Below are 17,990 nucleotides of genomic sequence, written 5' to 3'. Positions count from 1 at the left end.
AGGCCAGGAACACACGTGAACACGTGGGCCCCCCAGAGCACGTCTATGCGTGTGTACATACATACACACAGGCTTGGCACACACCTGCACACACAGGTGCCCCTCAGATCCAGTCATTCTCACACATGCCCTACAAGTTCACGCCAGCTCACACACATGCCCACATGGAAATGGAAAAGGGTGGAAGCAGGCAGGAAGGGGCAGAGCTGGGGAAGGGGCAGCTCCCCACAACCCTGGCCCTGGGGGTGGAAGGCAGCTCTCCCCCAGGCCACATGGTAGAAGCTGACCCAGGGGTCCAGCCTCCTATTGCAAGGCCCCCACCAGGCCCTCTGGCTCGGCCGTCGGGGCACGGTCCACAGGCATAGCCAAGAGAGCTGTTGCCACATATGGAGCAAGTGCTTACTATGTGCCAGGCACAGTGCTAGGAGCTTTGGGAGCTTTAGCTCACTGCCTCCTCCTCACACCGACCTGTGAGAAAGGCAGCGGTTAGCCCCATTTTCAAGTGAAGAAACTGAGGCTCAGCGAGGTGAAAGAAGTCACTCACCCAAGGTCAAAAGGCTCGGAAGTGGCAGGGCTGGGGCTGAAGCCCCTCCTCCCATCAGGACCCTGGGATGCAGCCACCAGCGGGGGCAGCACAGGGCCAGGGTGGCTGGGGCTTACCTGGGCGCGGCGTCCGCGGTTCACATAGGTGCACATGGGGTTGTAGGCACCTGTCCCGCACACATACAGGTGTGTTCGGTTCCAGGGCTGGATGAGCCTGACGAAGTTCCCACACTCGCCCTGGGGCCACAGGGAAGGCTGCATAGGTGCCCTGGCCAGGCCTGCCCCCTCACTGGGGGCAGTACCTTCCCACCTGTGGATTCCCCCTTCCCACCTGTGGATCCCACCAAACTCACGTTGACATCCTTGCCTGAGAGCACGCATTCCTCGATGCGCTGTGGGGAGGCTGCCCAGTGTATCTGCAGAGAGGGGGGTCAGAAGGTGCAGCCTTCTGGACATGCCCTGAGCCCTGGGGCTCCGTGCCCACCCCACGTCCCACATCAGGGCCAGCCCTTACAATGAGGGGCTCGCGGTTGATGTCGTGCAGGTCCAGGGACAGCACGTAGTCCTTGCTGCCCACGTACATGCGGTCGTGGTCCTCGTCCTTGAGCAAGATTCGGTAGTCGGTTGTGTTGAGCAGGAAGTTGAAGAAGTGGGCGGTGCCTGTGGCCTTCAGCTCTGTGGGTGGAGGGCAGGGCACCAATTAGGACCTTCAGGAAACCATCCAGCCATACCCCCTCTGATAAAGGGGAGACTGAGGCCCTGAGGTTCCCCTCAGGACCCCCACCACAGAGTGGTCTTTTTTCTTTCTTTCTTTTTTTCTTTTTACGAGATCAAGTCTCACTCTGTTGCCCAGGCTGCAGTACAGTAGCGAGATTGCGGCTCACTGCAACCTCCATCTGCTGGGTTCAAGCGATTCTCCTGTCTCAGCCTCCTGACTAGCTGGGATTACAGGCGTCAGCCACCACACCCAGCTTATTTTTTGTTTGTTTGTTTTTTGAGATGGAGTCTCACTCTGTCACCCAGGCTGGAGTGCAATGGCGCGATCTTGGCTCACTGCAACCTTCGCCTCCCGGGTTCAAGCGATTCTGCTGCCCCAGCCTCCTGAGTAGTTGGGATCACAGGCGCCCGCCACCACGCCTAGCTAATTTTTGTATTTTTAGTAGAGATGGGGTTTCTCCATGTTGGTCAGGCTGGTCTCGAACTCCTGACCTCGTGATCCACCTGTCTCAGCCTCCCAAAGTGCTGGGATTACAGGCATGAGCCACTGTGCCCAGCCCACACAGTGGTCTTAAACCTCCAGCTCCCCTTCCTGGATCCTTCTCAGCTCCCTCTCCAGTCCCTGACAGACTGAGAGGACAAAGTGGCACAGGTAGGCAGGCCAGGGAAGGCGCCACACCCAAAGCTAAACCCCTGATTCATAGACAGCCCTAGCTAGTCTCTGGGTCCCAATGAAAGGGCGGTAGGTGCGGGCCAGGGTACGCAACAGCATCAAAGAGTTTTTGCTCAGGTGGGGGTTAATGCTCCCACGCTCAGGGTGGGGCCAGCTTCACACAGGGGCTTAAAAGGGTTAATGAGCAGATAGGGGTGTGACCGGGTATATCTGGGACAGCCGGCAGACTCTGGCATGGAGCCTGGATGCCCTGTTCTTACCCTGGCTGCCCACCAGGCAGAGGGCACAGCTGGTGCACAGCAAGGTCCTCACTTGGTCTGAAGCAGGTTAGCCAGGAGACCAGAAAGCCCTGCTGGACACACTGCCCTACGGACCCCAGCTTCCCCCAGACCCTATAAGGCTGCTAATGGTGGAACTCTCAGGCCACCTTGAATGAGCCAGGACAGTCATTTCTGGGAAAGAGGCTCTCTCCCTGGAGCTACAACCCTGGGGCTAAAGGCAGGGTTCAACTGGGTCCTCTAGTTTCCCTTTTGCATGAGTCCAGCAGCCTTGGCCCCTCCAACTCCAGGATGCTGGGGAAAAGTCCTTCCTAAGGATGAAGGACAGGAGGGGGCTCAGACAATGACAGACAAAGGACTCCTAGAAGCTTGGGAACCTGCCTCCAAGGGGAGGGAGAGCCGAGGGGTCCCCTTGGCAAGCCCCCTCTCCACCCACCCCCAGCTATCTTTAGCTCAGCAAAAGAGGGAACACTGTAATGAGGATGATGAATATTCACACACACAGGGGGCTTAAGATAGCAGCACACAGAAGAGTGCATGCATGTATACACGTGGCACAGGCATGCACATGGCGCACACATGTCCTACCACACATGAGGCACTCACCAAGGGGGTCACACATGTCTCATCTCCCCTCCCCAGCTGGTAACCCATTTCACAGGTGGGGCAGTCAAGGGAGAGGCCTGGGCCAGGCCCCAAGGCACCTGGAGGGGGAGAACAGCTGGGATCCGAGGCCCTAGACACAGCCTGAAGGTGGGGCAGAGGTGGGCTGGGGTCAGGGGGTTCCACCAGCTGACCCAGAGCCCATGTCTGGTCCCAGGACCTCACTCTGAGAAACTAGTGGGTAAGGAAAGGTCTTGCCCTGCCTGGCCCTGACTATGCGGTGACAAGGGAATGCAGGTGATGACCTTGGCCAACCGCTGGGACGCAGGGACGCCGAGGGATCAAAGGGCCGATCCTGCCTGGCGATGGCCTCACCCGCCTGTCCAGCGGCGCCTCTGAAGTCCTGGGCAGGGCGGCCCAGGCACCTGTCCCGCACCTGTTGTTGGGCCACTCGGAGTCCCCCGCCTGGCCGCTCACCCGCCTGGCTGCTCACCCACAGTGACAACAGGAAAGTAAACATTCCCCCACCCCCAGGGCTGGGAAGTGGCCAGAGAGGAAGTGGGGCTGCCAGTGGAGCCCCCCCAGGCTGGGACAGCCCGCCAGGGGTTATTTATACCCTGGCTGGGGGCATGGCTCGGTCATGCCCTTACCCATCCCCTGGGCTAGGGGGCACTTTGGGGGCAATGGCAGGGGGAGGGGCTAGAGGCTTAAGTGGGCGCCTTCAGACACGGGCACTCCGGGTAAGGGGAAGCTTCAGCCATTAAGCCCCCAGGAACCCAATCAGCCATAATCCCCAAGCTCCAACCCTGCGCAGCCTTGGGCCTCTATAATATCAACCCTGCACCAAGACTCCCAGAGCCCGAGGCCCAAGTCCGAGTCCCCTACCCTCTTGCAAAGCCCCAGCACTCCCAAACTCCAGCTCCCTCTGTGAGAAAGGCCGTAGAGAACACTCAGAGGATGAGGAAACTGAGTCCCAGCTTAGGGGCAGAGGATTGGCCTCGACCCTCTCTGCCTGCTGCCCCCAGTCTGCCCCTGGGTGGAGGTGGGGGTGGAGGGAGCCCCTTGCTCAGTTATCGAACACCCGCTGTGCACAAAGCCCTGTGCTCACAATACCAAGGGCACAGGGCACAGGGAAGGGATGTGACATGCCAGAGTGCATGGGGGTGGGATTCCCACCTAGGTCCATGGCTGAAGGAGGGGGAGGCCCAGGGGAAGCCAGTCCTGGTGGTAGAGACTGCCTGCCAGGAGGGCCAGGGCCGGAAGGTGACTCGCTCCCCGTGGACAGGGCACATGACTCAGGACCTGCGGGACCCCTCCCAGTGGCCACGGGATATGGCGTCAATGGCTCTGGTGTCACAGGACGTGACGCTTTGGTCACTGTGGAAACAGTGTGGGGGGAGGGGGAGCCCCAGGAGGTCGCGCATGGTGGGGAAGGGGTGGGACCCAGGATCAGGGATCCTTGGCTATGGCTTGAGTTTCTGGGTGAGCTTCATGACCTGAGTTGGGGGCACTCTCGCTCTCTGAGCCTCATTCTCTAGTCTAGACCATCTCTCAGGCCCTCCTGGTACTGATATTCAAAGTGACCCTGAGGATCAGTGACCCCGTTCTGATCTCAGAGAGAGGCTCACGGCCTGGCATTCCTCAGGTCTTCCCCCAACCCATCCTTCATGGGTGTCTCTGCCTTTCAGGGAAAGGAGAGTGGAATGAGGTCCCAAGTCCTTCCCCAAGGAAGCAGGCTTCCACGTGTCGCTATCTCTTGTAGGGCATCCATCCCCATTCCCACCCCAGCTACTCCATTTCCTAGTGCTAGATTGGGGAGCAGAGAGGGCTATAAGGCAGGAAGAGGCAACCTGTGGACTCAGCTCCAGCCTTCCCAACTCCAGTGTGTCCTTACCCCATCCCCAACCCACAGGAATAGAGCTAAATCCCAAACCATTCATCCAAACCCAGCCTACCAGAGGGGAACCAAGGTGGAGAGGGGTGGGAACTTCCCCGGGTCCCAGAGCAAAGAAGGTGTAAGGTTCCAGCCTTCTCAACCCACAGCTGGACTTCTGACCCCACTCATGCCAGACTGTAGGTGAAAAGGGAAACAAGGAGCCCTGTGACAGCCCTGCACCCCCAGCTGCAGACAGGAAGACTGAGGCCCAAAGGAGAGTGGTACTCAACCCAGGTCACAGGGTGTCCTGTCCCCTGCTCCCCACTCCACCATGAGGCAAAGGAACTGGGAGCCTTCACTCCTCCAAGCAGCCTGAGTCAGAGCAGGGGGTGGGCAAGTAGCCCTGGGTATCCTCCTCCAAAACCTGCCATCAGCAGGTGCCAGATCCTACCAGGCCCCAGCTCCCTTAAGGGACAGGGACTTGGGACAGAAGGAACAAAGGAACCTGGGACCTGAGGTGGCATCAGTGGGGGCCAGGGCTGATGCAGACCCAGCCTGGTCATGTCCTAAGGCCAATCCCCACATCTGCTCCACTTGTCCCACGCCCGGCTCTGGCAGCAGGAGCGCCATGCCTCCTCGAATGCCATGGCAATGTTGAGGGAGGGGCTGGGCACAATCAAGGGTTCTGTGGGGATCAGGACTCCAGCCCAGATAAGCTTTGACCTTAGGGGGAGGAAGGGTGGTGTGCCTGGGTGCTGTCTCCTGGGAAGGGCTCCCCACCCCCATACTCTCACCCAGGCTGGGCACAGGTTGGGAGGGGTGACATCCGGGAAGGATTTTCCCATCATCGGGAAGGAAGAGCCTTTTCTGGCATCAGACACCTCATTTCCGCAGCCATTCCTGGCCTCCAGGACTCTCTCATGGCCATCAAGCACTTGGGGTCCCAGCCCAAAGCGGCCTGGCACAGGTCCAGAGGCAGGACCTTCTCAAGGCACACGGGGCTGGGTCCTGGGGGCCCCCGGTCCCTCATATCTGGGAAGCAGCTGGTGATACCTTACTTTAAAGGTGCGGGCAGGTGAGGACAGGCACTGAGGAGGCGTGTCCACAGCCCTCACCCGAAGACCCCAAGTGGGCAGCCCCTACCCCTTGCTGCTGGTCTCCAGGACATCAGGTCTGCGTGCAGTGAGGTGTGGGCTGCCGCAAAAAGAGGAGTCTTGGAGCAGAGGTGGGCAGCCCGCCCCCTTGGTTATAGCCCCACAAAGCAGCAGGCCCTGACTGACAGCGTCACCTCCCCCAGCAGTGATGGGGACTGGGGATGATAGACAGATCCCTGCAGCCTAGCTCAGACCTCTGACCTCTAGTGAGCCAGTGCAGCCCTAATCCCTGAGCTGAAGAGAGATGGGACTGGGGGACAAGGGGAGGCACCAGCCTGGGTCTTTGTCAGTGTTTCACCCACCGGAAAGACAGACCTCCTGACCTTCTGAGGAGGGAAACTGAGGTAGCCAAGGCTATAGTAGCAGTGGCGGCAAGAGGCATGGCAGGGCCCAGGTGGTCCCTACCGGATACCCCCACAGGATCCAGGAAGGGGTGGCCCCGGCCCTTTTATCACTCCCCCAAAGCTGTGAGGAGCCCCAGAGGAAGGCCTGGGGACTGGGCTGGCCCCCTGGCTCTCAGCCTAATCCTCTTTTAATGAGCGGCCAGCCGGAAGGCCTCAGCCCATGGCCACAGACCTACAACCCCGGGAACCCCAGCCAAGCTAAGCGGGGGGGCAGGGAGGCCCAGATGCCTTTGTACGTACCTTCCTCCTGCTTGGCACACCCACTTACACCCCAACGCCACCCTGATCAGGCCAACCCAGGGCCCAGTATGTGCAGAGACACACCTGAGTGACGCCTGCCTTGGGCTCCCACAGACCCACTCTTGGGCACTTACCATTTGTTCAAGCCCAGGTCCCACATGGGGCTGGGCAGGGGAGACTATCACTGCTGATCTGGGGTAGCTCCTCCAGTTCCCCCTTTTCCCCCTATGCTCTGGATGGGAACCCTAGAAGCCAGACCCCAGCTGCACCCTCCCTGGGGAGAGGTTCCAGGTTCCTCTGACCCTAAGCCCCTGGAGATCTGCCCCCGCATAGCATCTCTAGCCAGGCCTTCCAGATTGGAGACCCAGAGGGCCTCCCTAGGAGCCATCCACACCAACCCCCGCTTCCCCCCAGGTAGGTGAGCCAGGTTGGTGCCAACAAAACCAATTACAGCCACTCTCACCCAATTAGCAACTAATTATGGTCTAGTAGTCCATTCAACATAATTAACATGTAAATGACTCCGCGTGTTTTTATTCAATAACCGCTCTGATTGAATTTAATTTAAATGTCTGAACTGGGGACCCAGTTACCGTATTTCACCACCTAGAGCTGCCACTCTAGGAAATGTGGTGGGAAATGTTGGCTCCTCCAGAGCAGAGGAACCGAAGGCCAGAGGCCAAGGGGACAGGCACCACTGGCTCTGGTAAGGTGGAGATGGTTATGGTCTCTGTATCCCTGACACATCTATCCCAGGGGTGCAGGGAATTGGTGAGGTCAGAAGAGCCCCAGTGGGACCCTCAAGATGGGAAATCCCCTGCAACGAGGGGCCCCTTTGCAAGGGCTACTGTAAACATCCCAGCTGTTCAGTAAACACCGTACAGGGGTAAAGAGCCCAGCTGGGCCAAAACGCCACTGTACACTTCCCTCCCATTTCAGTGACTAAAGGCTGGGGGCAGGGGGCAGGGGGCTGGGGCCAGCAGGTCCAGGCATGCTGTTCCCACGCCCGTTCCGCCCCAGTGCTCACCTACTCCGCCCAGGACAGGATAGGCTGAGGGCACAGCTCAGCCTCAAACCAGGAAAAGCCAGAAGTGACGGAGCAGCAGGATCACTCCCTGACTCGCCAGCCGGGAACCAGGGGATCCATGCCTCATCCCCGAAGGACACCCAATGACTTCGGACCTTCTGTCCCAGCAGATGGGGTCTCTCCGGCCTCGGCACCTCCACTGACCCCTGCCTTCCCCATGGTCCATGCACCTGACCATCCTAGGCCTGGGCTGGTAGTTCCAGAGGCCTAGACGTCCCACTTGGAACTTAACAGTGTGCATGGTTGCCTGTGAGAACACATTTGGGCATTCACCAGCTGGGCAAGTCAGGGCTCCGGCTCAGCTTTGGAAGGACACTGTGGTCAAGAGACCTGGTCCTGAGCAGGGGGTGGGAGAAGATGACCAGACAAGCAGATCACACAGGAATGTGCCCCAAGAAGTATGAAGGGGATGGAAAGAGGGGATTGTTCTGAAGGGGAGGGCTGCACTGATTCATTTCTCAGGTGGGGAGAGTGAAAAGGCCATTCAGTGAGTGCCTCCAGTTTCAGAGGCCCCCGGGGGACCCACCTCCTCCTCCCACATTCCAGACCTGGCCCGGAAACCCCTCACTCCTTCCTCCACCACCTCCTCCTCCCCATGACTGCAAAAGACAACAAACTCTCCATGGCTCATTTACTCTGATAAATCACCCAGACAGACAGGCCAAGATGGGACCAACAGGCTGGTGGGTGTCAAAACCCTCCCCCTCCCCTGGGCCCAGCCCCCATCTCTGCGGCCTTCCTCGGATTCCTGCGGTCCCTGCAGCCCCTTCACAACACCCACCCAGAGATTCCCGGGATGTTCCAGACAGTCTTAGCCCCTCCCCAACATTCTGATGGAGAAACCGAGGCACAGGGCAGACAGGTGCATGCTTGGGGTCAGCCTTGGAGGATGCAGTGAGGCTGGGTTAGGACCTCAGCAGGACTCAGCAGGTAGCCAGTCAAGGGCAGGCAGTGAGCACTCCGCACAGGCCCCAGGCCCAGCCAGGAAGGCGCTGATAAAAATGGCAATACAGGCAGCCCTGGGAGAGGCCCCCTGGAGTGCTAGCCACTCAGCCTTGGAGCTGTAGGAGCCCAAAGGGCTCCCAAATTCTAGCCGCTCTGCCAATTGTAGTGTATGACCCTTAGAAGGCAACCGTGCTGGCTGAACAGCAGACACACGAGGCAGTGGACTCTGGCCGGGGGAAATGAGGGCATCAGCACCGAGCCCCAAGTGGGAAGGAACAAGGCTCTTGGCTGGGTACAGAGACGTCCGAGGAAAGAGCATGTCCGGGTAGGAAGCCAAGAGGGGTGGCAAAGGGAGGGGTGGAGGCAAGGGGGAGTAGGGGGAGGAAGGAAGGAAGAAGAGTGGGGGAAGGGGGATCCGGAGCTGAGGCTTCCTGATCCCTGGAGGGGCCGGTTGCTTTGGGTCTGTCTTTGCCCTGCAGAGATGCACCAGATAGCCAGTGCTCCCCTCGGCCCAGTGAGAGTGCCAGAAGTCAGCCCAGCCCGTCAGCCCGATGAGCCCCACTCCCTCCCCAACAGGCTAGCCCCCCAATCCTAGGCCAGCAGCCACTGCCCAGACCCCATTCGTTGCTGGGTCAGGACCAGTGGTCAGGGACTGGAGCCCAGGAGGCCTCCACCCTCTCCCTGGGGCTGCCCAGCAGGCTGGGTGGGGGGCTGTAGGCCTGCCAAGCTCTGGCACCCACGTGAGCTAGGCTTTGGATTCAGACCATAGCCTTCTGGCATCCAGGCCTCTGGCAAAGGCCCTCTTGCTATTTCTAAGAAAAATGCAGCAGGAATCCTCTCTGCTTCTCCAAAGCTCCCAGGGCTTCTTGAGGCGGGGCTCAGATTCCCAGGATAGCACCAGGCCAAGCCAGGCAAACATGCTTTCTGCCCAGCCCTGCAGATGCCTGAGTGAGCAGCCCAGGTCTGGTCACCCCTAGGACACACGGCAGGAGCTGGAGCAGCATTCACAGAAGGAGTTATTGCAGCCAACTGTGCGTCCCAACCAGGCCTTGGAGCCAGTCTCTAGGGAGCTACTTCCAAGGCATCACTCCCGCCAAATGCATCCGTATCACTGGAATTTTTCCATAATACATATTTAGTACCTCTGCCATGAGGAAAAAGAGCTTAAAAACCAGAAACAGAAAGTAGAACTCTACATCCTTGTCCCAAAAGCAAGACTGCATCTAGCATCTGTCCTCTTCCCCAGGTGCTGCACCACATGCACCCTCCCTGTGCTCCAGCTCTTCCCTCCCCTACAACCTCCCCTCCCCTGCTCAAGATGCAGCCTCCTCCATGAAGCCTGCCCAGATACCCATGGTAGGAATTTTCCTCCTCCTGACCCTACTCCACCCACCCCACAGGACTCAGGGTCCTTCCTGGAGTCCTTTCCAAATACCATCTCCCTTACCAAAAGTTAGAATTCTGGAGGAAGGGGTGAGGCAGTCTGGGACTCCTTGGGGCATGCCCCTGGACCTGCCCTCACCTGCACACCAGCCTCAGGATCGCTCCTGGTGACTGAGATTTCTTCCACAGTGACCATACTCACACAGTTAATCCTCCTGACAACACAACGAGGCCAGTATTGTTCTTACTCCCATTTTCCAGAAAAGGCAGTGGGAACACAGAATGATGTTCACCAAGCAAGATCCACCCATGGCCAGGATGCAAGCAAGACAGTCTGAGCCCTCATGATGCTGCTTCCACAGGGCCACTGCCATTCCCACCTTACACAGGAGAAACCAGGGCTCAGAGAGGCTAAGCCACTTGGCTGAACTCACACAGCTAACACTGGTAGAACTGGGTTTTGCCTTTGGGACCAGCTAGCTCAGCCACCACCATCACCACTTCTGCATTACACCAAATTTAAGCACCCCACTCTCCTGAGTGAGGAGATGGAGGTCTCCCAGGAGTCAAGGACCAGGTACCCATGGCCCTAAAGCCACCTTCTGAGCTATTACCACCTCTGGAGGAGTCAAGGGGCCGGAGGTGCATACACACAGGTGCAGACAGCCAAGAGCCCACTCTGAGGCTCACTGTCTCCCAAGCTGCAGGGTGAAAGATGCCTTTATGGGCTGGTGAGATTTTTATCTTGGCGGTTTCTCTTTAAATTCTTTACGATTACGAAGCAGTGGGGGCTGCCAAGGAACATGATTTACTCCTTGAGCATGCACCAGCTCCTCACTTAGTGCCAAGGGAAGCTGGAGCCAGGGAAGGAGGGGCGGGCATCATGCCAGGGAACCAGAGACAAGGCCTGTGCTGCGGAGGCCCAGACAGTGGAGGTCCCATCTGAAGCTCCACTTGACCTGGAAGGCCACAGCTGAAAGCCCCAGCCCCTGGCCTGGCTGACCCAGGCTGGGCGTCAGGCAGGTTCTCCAGCAAGCACAAGGACCCTGTCTCCATTCTCTCCAAAGACCAATTCCTAGCCAGTTGGGGGATGTGCAGCTTCCAGGACCTCCCAACTCCAAAGCGGCCACTTCCAAGTCTCTCAGGAGTAAGGCAGCTCCCATTTCCAGAAAACTGAAACTCCAGATCTGGCCTCAAGGGATCTGGGCTCAAGTTCATGCTTTGGGTCTTCCTTCCTCCCTCATCCTGGCGTATCCTGGAACACCTACCCTCCCTGGCTTGTGAGCTCCAACCCCCACTGTAGCTGCCAGAGCCACCTGACCCTTGCCCAGCTCCCTGGTGCCACACTGGCCTCAAAGCTCCTGGGCCTCCTCCCCCTCCTCCCCCACCAAAGCCCCATGCCTTGCTCTGGCTGGCCAAGGAGCCCCTGGGGGGCAAGAGCATGTCCTCTAGCTCTCCAGCCCCACCCCTACTCCTGCACCAGGCCTGAGGGCTAAGGCCCCATCAAGGCTTGCTAGAGGCACCTCAACTCACATCAACTCCTGAGGGGAAGTCAACGGGCTGTGACCCTTCCTAACCTCTAACCTCATCATCTCCAAACCTGGCAACCTTGGTCCTCTGATGCCACATGCAAATGATGTGAGCGGTGGCACTGTTCTGGGCTATTGGCCTGGAGGGCTCAAACTCCAGGCTGCTCTGGAACAGGAGCCCTTTCCTCTCTTAGGCCCTGATGTTCCCATCTCTGACATGAGAGGCCTTCCTAGGGACCCTGCTCAGTGGAAGGGCCAGAGTGATGGAGGGCCGGATTTATAGCCTGGAAATAAGCAAACCCCAATTCCGTTGCTTCGGCAGACAGAGGGCATGGGGAGCCTGCCCAGTGCGACCCCAGCCCTTTCTTTGGGAAACGAGGCTAGGAAGCCTAAACCAGCACTGCAGAATGCTGGAATCTTCCTTGTTCCTAGCTCATGTGAAGGGTCTGTGCCTCCAGCACCACCACCATCCCTGCCCTCCACTCTCAGTCCTGGGACAGCCTCAGGCATCAGGCGGATGCAGGCTCCATCTCAGTCCTGCTCCTGAGTGACCTGGGAAGCCGCTCAGCCCCCGTAAGCCTCCTTCCTCACAGGAAACCTAGGCAGACCCTCTTTAGGTCTTGGAGGGACCATTGCTTGGTTATCCTCATGGGCTCCTACTACTATTTCGATTATGTTCATCTTTCCTGACCTCCCCTGGCAGGGTGACCTTCTGCTCCCTCTCCCTACTTCTGCCTCAGCTTCCCTAGCAGCACAACTGTCTCATGTCATCACAGGGTCCTTCTACCCCACCAAACATCTCTTGGCCCCAATCCCTGGCCAAACCCAGCCCAGGCAGCAGCAGTGTGTCGTGGGGTAGCTTCCTGGGAAAAAGTAAACACTCCCCAGGCTGAACAAAGGGCCTGGCAGGGCCCTCACACCTCCCTGCTGCTGCCACGGAGGGAGGTGGTGCCCCAGAGCCTGGGTCATCTCAAGGTGGGGGAAGGAAGAGCTTTTTCTCTGAGATTTGGCAGTGATTCTGCAGTGTAGGGGACTCCAGGCCCAGGCATGGATGGGTGAAGGAAGGAGGGTCTGTCCAGGCTTCCAGCCCAGGCTCCACTCTCTCAAGAGCAAGGAATGAACAAACACCTCACCTGCTCCTGGAAATCTCCATTTGACCCTCACTTCTGCCTGATTTTGGCTGTGCTGCTGAAGCCCAGAAGCTGGGCCATAGGAGCCCCCCTAATCTGAGGGAACCCTGGGCTGCTTGACCCTCACACCCTTCTGGCTCTAGACCTGGCTGGGGTGCCCAGGCGGATGGGCGGGCAGCAAACCCAAGCCTGGCCCAGTTCCTGCCTTTGTTCCTTTATCTACCCTGGGCAGTGTGGCCCCTTATGCCAGCACCTCTAGCTTGGAGGGTCCAGCCCTACCCAGGCAGGAACCGGCACCTCCCCACTACAGCAGGACCCAGGGCAGGGCAGGGCAGGGAGTGCCCAGCCTGAGCCCCTGAGGCCTGGGGTGTCAACTGCTGTGTCCATCCAAGGCACAGATGAAAAAACTATGACATGGAGCCACAGTGACCAGCAGTGCTTCTGAGAGTAACCTTCTCTGTGCCACCCACGTGTACTCTGGGAGGAAGATGGTGGGAGCCCAGTTTCTTGAAGTGTTGGTCTCCATTCTCACTCCACACACACTTGGTGGGCGCCTGCTCCTCACTGAGGGCCACTTCATGTGTGCATAACCAGGCTGAGACCACCCAGTGTAGGGGGATACACAGGGCCTGGTACACAGCAGGTGCTGGGCTCCCAGATGGCCCTGACCAACTGGATATCCATTGCTTTTTCCACCAGCTTGACTGTGAGCACCCTATCTTGTTCACCACAGAGTCCCCAGCACTCAGCACGGGGCCTGTCATACAGTAGTAAGTGAAGTCTAAGCACAAAATTAGGACACGAGACCAGGTCGGAACAGGGAAGGTCATTCAGGGCAGGGGAACCTGCCTGTGCAAAGGCACAGGAGCCCTGGGATGGGTGGCCCCAGGTGCGCTGCAGCCCCACCCCAGGCCGCCACAACCGGCAACACCCAGGCTGGCTGCCAGTGAGCTCAGCTTTTAGTCACTGCGGGTGTCGGCTTCAGAGCTAATTGAGAGGGAATCGACCTGACGCGATGTGGGCGCCGGCAAGGCCAGGACACCAGGGTTCTATTTCTGGCTTTGCCTCTGCCTCTTGCCTGACCTTGACCCTGCCCTTGCCTGAGCCTCAGTTTCTCTCTCTGGAAAACAGGAACAAAACTCTTTGCCCCTGGAGGTCCAGGGAGGCTTAGAAGGAGCACACGGAAGACCCCTCTCTGTTTTGCCCCTCCTGCTTACTTGCATGCATGATGACAAAAACAACACCCAGAGCGGACGCAAGGTCCCAGGGGTGTGGAGACCAAGCCACCCCTCCCTTCCACTATCGGGGGAGGAGACACTCTACTCTCGCTGCCAGACCCTGGGCTGGGGAGGGGTTTGGGGGAACTGGCCCCTTCAAGATTTATTAATCTGCTCTGAAGAATTCCACCAGGGAAGGGTGGAGGTATCAGCAGAATAAATATCTCACCTTCCTGGGGCCCGGGGAAGGGGGGTGCTTTCCAGCCCAAACAAATTAACTCTTCTCAGCCCATTTCTCAGGCCCTGCAGGGGACTCCTTCCAGGCACAGCCTCAGAAATTCCAGGAGCCGGGTGACTGGGAAGAGTGATGATAAGCAGCTTACTCCCCTACTCCTCCCATCAAGGGGCAGGGTGGGACGAGGCCAGGGGAGGGGCCCTGCTGGGGGACATGGTGAGGTGAGGGCTGGGCCTCCGCCAAGCCCGAGGAAGGAAAGGTCACCCCAGCCTTTCACCCCAGTATGGCTGCCCGGAAATCTGGCCAGCCAGGGCTGAGTCGACCCCACCCAGGGCAGGCGGCTGGATGAAGTTACCTCTGGCCAGAGGAGGGCCAAGGCTGAGAACTCCCAATGACCCCAGGTCCCCCAGGCCCCAGCATGGCCACTGCCCCTCACCCTGGGCCCAGGGGAGACTCTTCAGACCACACACACCCTTGAGGAAGTGGCTCTCGAGTGAGCCATTTGTACACCCATGTGTGTACCGTGTGCGTGCACCTGTCCAGTGGGTTAAGTGCAATGGTGATGGAGCGGGCGACCAGCCTCTCACTCTGCAGACCCCAGCCCATCACTGAAACCTCCCAGTGACTTCTCATCAAAGTGCTCACTGGAGCTCAGGAGCTCAGGCCCTCACAGCAGCACGTGCTCTGCCTGAACCCACCGGCGGCCTCCCTGCCAGTCACAGCCAACAGTCCCCTCCTGGATTCTAGGAACCCTTCCCACTTGGAGACCATAGGAAGGCTCCTCGAGCACCCACACCCCAAGAGAGCAGGTCCTGCTCTTCCAGTGTCCAGAGGTTCCAGTGTCTGCCCAACTGCCTGACCTTCCACCCCAGGGGCTGCTCAGGGCAGGACCAGATGCATAGCAGTGGCAAGGAGGGGCCGCAGCAGACATAAGTTTGGAAGGAGTGACATTGCCACCTCTCCAATTATCATACAGAAAGACATGCCCTACAGACCTCAGGCCACCCAGCCCAGGAACCCACAGTCTGACTCTGGAAGATGCCCAGACTCTGGACTCTTTTGCTAAGTGTCTAAATGGGTCAGTTCTCCAGCCTTTCCCAGCAAGCCACCACCTCCCCGGTCTCCCTTCTCCCCCACAACCTATGTGGCTGTACAATTTGTCCTGGTTTTGTCCTGACCCACCCTTTCTCTCGTGTGCAGAGGAGCCGAGCGCTATTGTAAAGAGAGGATGATTTCTGGGGAAGAACAAAACAGCTTCTTACCTTTGAATGAGAGCCGGACCCGGGGCGTGGCCGGGAGGTGGTCCTGGGTGGGGAAGGATGGCCAGGCCCCGGTCAGTAGGGAAGCCCAGAGAAGAAGACCGGCGACAAGCATTGTGGGAGGGGCCTAGGGCCCAGGAAGCAGGCTCCACTCTCTAGAAACCTGGGAAGGGGAACCAAGATTGGAATGTGTGAGGCAGATGGGGGAGTTCAATTTCTACCCAAGGTGAACAAAGAGGTTGATGGGTACCTCCACGCTTCCACCCCCAGCCTGGGGCCATGAATGCCCCTGTGTGCACACCTCATGTGCGTTCTTTGGCCTGCCTTTGTCTGGGGAGATAGTACCAATAGGCCCCAGCCTGGGGTCACCAGAACTGATGGGGGCTGCTGGAGACTCAAACCCTACCCCTCATGGCATGCTGAATTCCATTCACAGGGCCCAGACCAACCAGGTGATCTTAGGGCTCTTTCCAGCTCCCAGCATGCTTTCTCCTTTCTCCCCTGCATCTGTGGCCAATAAAGTGGGTTACTCCTTCTCCCTCCCACCTGGAGGAATGGGGAACAGATAGGGTGCATCCCTGCCTGCTCCAGCCACAGGTCTTCTCCCAGTACAGAGAAACCTGGACCTGATTATTACGGTAGAGGGGAGGCACAGGAGAGAGTGGGGGAATGAGACACATGCAGACAGCCCAAGATGGAAGAGAGGGAGCACCAGTCAGAAAAGGAAAGGCAGAGAATGGCAGAGTCCACTTGTACTAAAATCAAAGCAGGAGAGACCCAGGTCAGACAGGCAGAAGGACTTCCTGCCAGGGAAAACTTCCAGCTCCGCCTCTAGAGGGCAAAGAAGGGAAGCTAGGATGGCCAGTGGGCCTGGGGCTGGATCTGGGCCAGCGGCATTGCCACCTTCAGAATCCCCCATAGCCCCAGCAGGTCCAAGTTTCAATACTGTGTTTTTCAAATATTGTCTCCCCAGGCAGGCTGGCTGTTGGGTAAACGCAGCCCAGCACCAGTTGTCAGAACATATTGCTCCCTCCCGGCACAAACCAGCGCCAACTCCTACCACCACCCCCAACCGGATGCACTGCGGGTGGGGGCATCGAGACTGAAAATGTGAGCCCCATCCCCCAGATCTGCCCTGTGTACTCCCTTCTTCCGTGGCAGGCAGGACCCCAGGCCCATCTCTAGGATGCTGGGATGGGAGTTGGCAGTACTATGGCCTGGGACTCCCCTGCCATAGCTGCTCAATGCTGAGGCAAAGCCCAGGCTCCAGTCTGACTCTTAGGCCCCACTCATTAGACCCTGATGACATCCCTAGACCCACCTCCCCCAGCCCTGGCCTCTCCTGCCAAGGCAAACCACTCATGGCTCCTCAGACAGGAAGTGCAGCTTCAGCCTCTTGGCCCACTCCTTACGCGGTACCCTCTGTGTGAATGTTCTCTCCCGAGGGCCTGGCACACCGCTCATGGTCCTTCCAGATCCCCTGTCATAGATGCTGCCTCCTGGGGAGGCTAGCTGGGGGATGGGGGAATCAGAACCAGCCCCTCCTCAGGTCTGGGAGGCACAAAGCTAGTGCTGACTGAATGGCAGGCTCTGAGAAGTGGGGGCAGGTGGGAGAAATGGCTGTGCAGCCACCGTCACCCTCAAGGTGCACCTGGGAGGCCCCTGATAACAGCTGTGGATATGCACACGTTCACACTTGCAGGCCCACACACGTCCTTACAAGCATGAGTTTGCTCAAGAACTTGACCTGCTAGTGGGGTGGGGCTCAGGGGAGCTGGGAGATACTGTCCTGGCGCAAGATGCCGTCTGAGTCCCTCAGAGAGCTTCGATACTATGTAACGGGGGCTCCTGTCAACCTGCCTCCCGCCTCCCCCCTCCCCATGACCTCATTTTTTCCTTCATCCATGTTCATGGTGACAAAGTCAGTGTCACCAAGGACAGGGTTGGAGTCACCCAATGTGTCCAGAGAGGTGGGGAGTCTTTCTACTGGGTCCCTACAGGGACTTCCCATCCAAATGCTTTGGCCTTTTAAAGAGGTGAATGGGGAGGGGCTCAAGTTTGCTGGGGCCTCAGTCTCAAGTCCAGGTCCCCTCTTGGACAGCCTGGCAGGTGGGGGAAAGAAGGAGAGGGAAGGAAGAAAAGGAGAAGAAGGACAGAGAGGGAAAGAAAGGGCAAACCCACAGTGCCTTCCCCTCTGCCAGTCCCGAGATGCCTGTCACCCAGCCCCAGCCCCAGAAAAGCCCCCAAGTCACACCAAGCCCAGGTCAGTGGACAGAGGAAGAACAGCCACCGCCACCTGGGAGCCCACCAGGAAGAAAGCAGAGAAGGAGGGAAGGAAGGCTGGTGGGAGGGAGCAAGGGAGGGAGGCAGGCGGGAGGGAGGAGGAGAGAGGGAGGAGAGAGGGAGGGACGGAGGAGAGACGCTTGAACAAAGAAACGAGGAGCCGGGGCTGGCAAGGGGTGCAGGGAAGAGGCGGCCAGAGGAAGGAGTCCGGAGGCACCTGGGATGGGACAGGGGGCCAGGTGGCCAAACTGTACAGCCGGATCCAGACCGCCCAGGCTTGGAGTTGGGGGTGGGGGTGGACAGCCTGTCTCCAGGAAGGGAGGTTGGCTCCTCCGAGCTGAGGACTGCCTGGATGGAAGGGAGGCAGGAACAGGGGCCGTAGGGGAACATGGGGAGATTATCAACAGCACCCCACCCGCTACCCAGCCCCTCAG

The 17,990-nt window shown here is 58.7% G+C and overlaps 1 protein-coding gene across 11 annotated transcripts in view, besides 6 other annotated features; it reads right to left on the bottom strand.

Annotated features, from left to right (window-relative positions):
- Positions 1-17,990, bottom strand: part of SEMA3F (semaphorin 3F) — a 34,018-nt gene that overhangs the window by 14,065 nt on the left and 1,963 nt on the right. For 8 of the 11 annotated variants that reach the window (XM_005265381.5, XM_011533998.3, XM_047448700.1 and 5 more), the window contains exons 2-5: positions 15,277-15,436; positions 1,058-1,218; positions 897-959; positions 661-780 (exon numbers count right to left, since the gene is read on the bottom strand). In XM_005265381.5, coding sequence (XP_005265438.1) covers positions 661-780; positions 897-959; positions 1,058-1,218; positions 15,277-15,388 — 456 coding nt within the window. In that variant the 5' untranslated portion in view covers positions 15,389-15,436. Of the gene's footprint in view, positions 1-660; positions 781-896; positions 960-1,057; positions 1,219-15,276; positions 15,437-15,722; positions 15,993-17,990 lie in introns of those variants that run through there. The other 3 variants (XM_047448699.1, NM_001318800.2, NM_001318798.2) reach the window with 2 other exon arrangements.
- Positions 3,674-4,647: an enhancer, noted in NCBI's record as "H3K4me1 hESC enhancer chr3:50207797-50208770 (GRCh37/hg19 assembly coordinates)". NCBI's record gives its function as "activates a minimal SCP1, AML or CMV promoter by ChIP-STARR-seq in primed H9 embryonic stem cells {active_cell/tissue: H9 hESC(primed)}" and the evidence as "EXISTENCE:reporter gene assay evidence [ECO:0000049][PMID:30033119]".
- Positions 5,063-5,273: a silencer, noted in NCBI's record as "fragment chr3:50207171-50207381 (GRCh37/hg19 assembly coordinates)". NCBI's record gives its function as "represses an EF-1alpha promoter that drives an FKBP-Casp9 reporter gene in an ReSE screen in HepG2 liver carcinoma cells {active_cell/tissue: HepG2}" and the evidence as "EXISTENCE:reporter gene assay evidence [ECO:0000049][PMID:32094911]".
- Positions 7,281-7,575: a silencer, noted in NCBI's record as "tiled region #10077; K562 Repressive non-DNase unmatched - State 23:Low". NCBI's record gives its function as "weakly represses a minimal TATA promoter and a strong SV40 promoter by Sharpr-MPRA in K562 cells {active_cell/tissue: K562}" and the evidence as "EXISTENCE:reporter gene assay evidence [ECO:0000049][PMID:27701403]".
- Positions 7,281-7,575: an enhancer, noted in NCBI's record as "tiled region #10077; HepG2 Activating DNase matched - State 5:Enh". NCBI's record gives its function as "activates a minimal TATA promoter and a strong SV40 promoter by Sharpr-MPRA in HepG2 cells {active_cell/tissue: HepG2}" and the evidence as "EXISTENCE:reporter gene assay evidence [ECO:0000049][PMID:27701403]".
- Positions 7,281-8,121: a biological region, named in NCBI's record as "Sharpr-MPRA regulatory region 10077".
- Positions 7,507-8,121: an enhancer, noted in NCBI's record as "H3K4me1 hESC enhancer chr3:50204323-50204937 (GRCh37/hg19 assembly coordinates)". NCBI's record gives its function as "activates a minimal SCP1, AML or CMV promoter by ChIP-STARR-seq in primed H9 embryonic stem cells {active_cell/tissue: H9 hESC(primed)}" and the evidence as "EXISTENCE:reporter gene assay evidence [ECO:0000049][PMID:30033119]".

The sequence above is a fragment of the Homo sapiens genome, chromosome 3 (assembly GCF_000001405.40).
Source record: "Homo sapiens chromosome 3, GRCh38.p14 Primary Assembly".
In the NCBI taxonomy this organism is placed as follows: Eukaryota; Metazoa; Chordata; class Mammalia; order Primates; family Hominidae; genus Homo; species Homo sapiens.
Note: the sequence above shows the minus strand (reverse complement) of the source record. Positions and strands in the feature narration are given on the sequence as shown.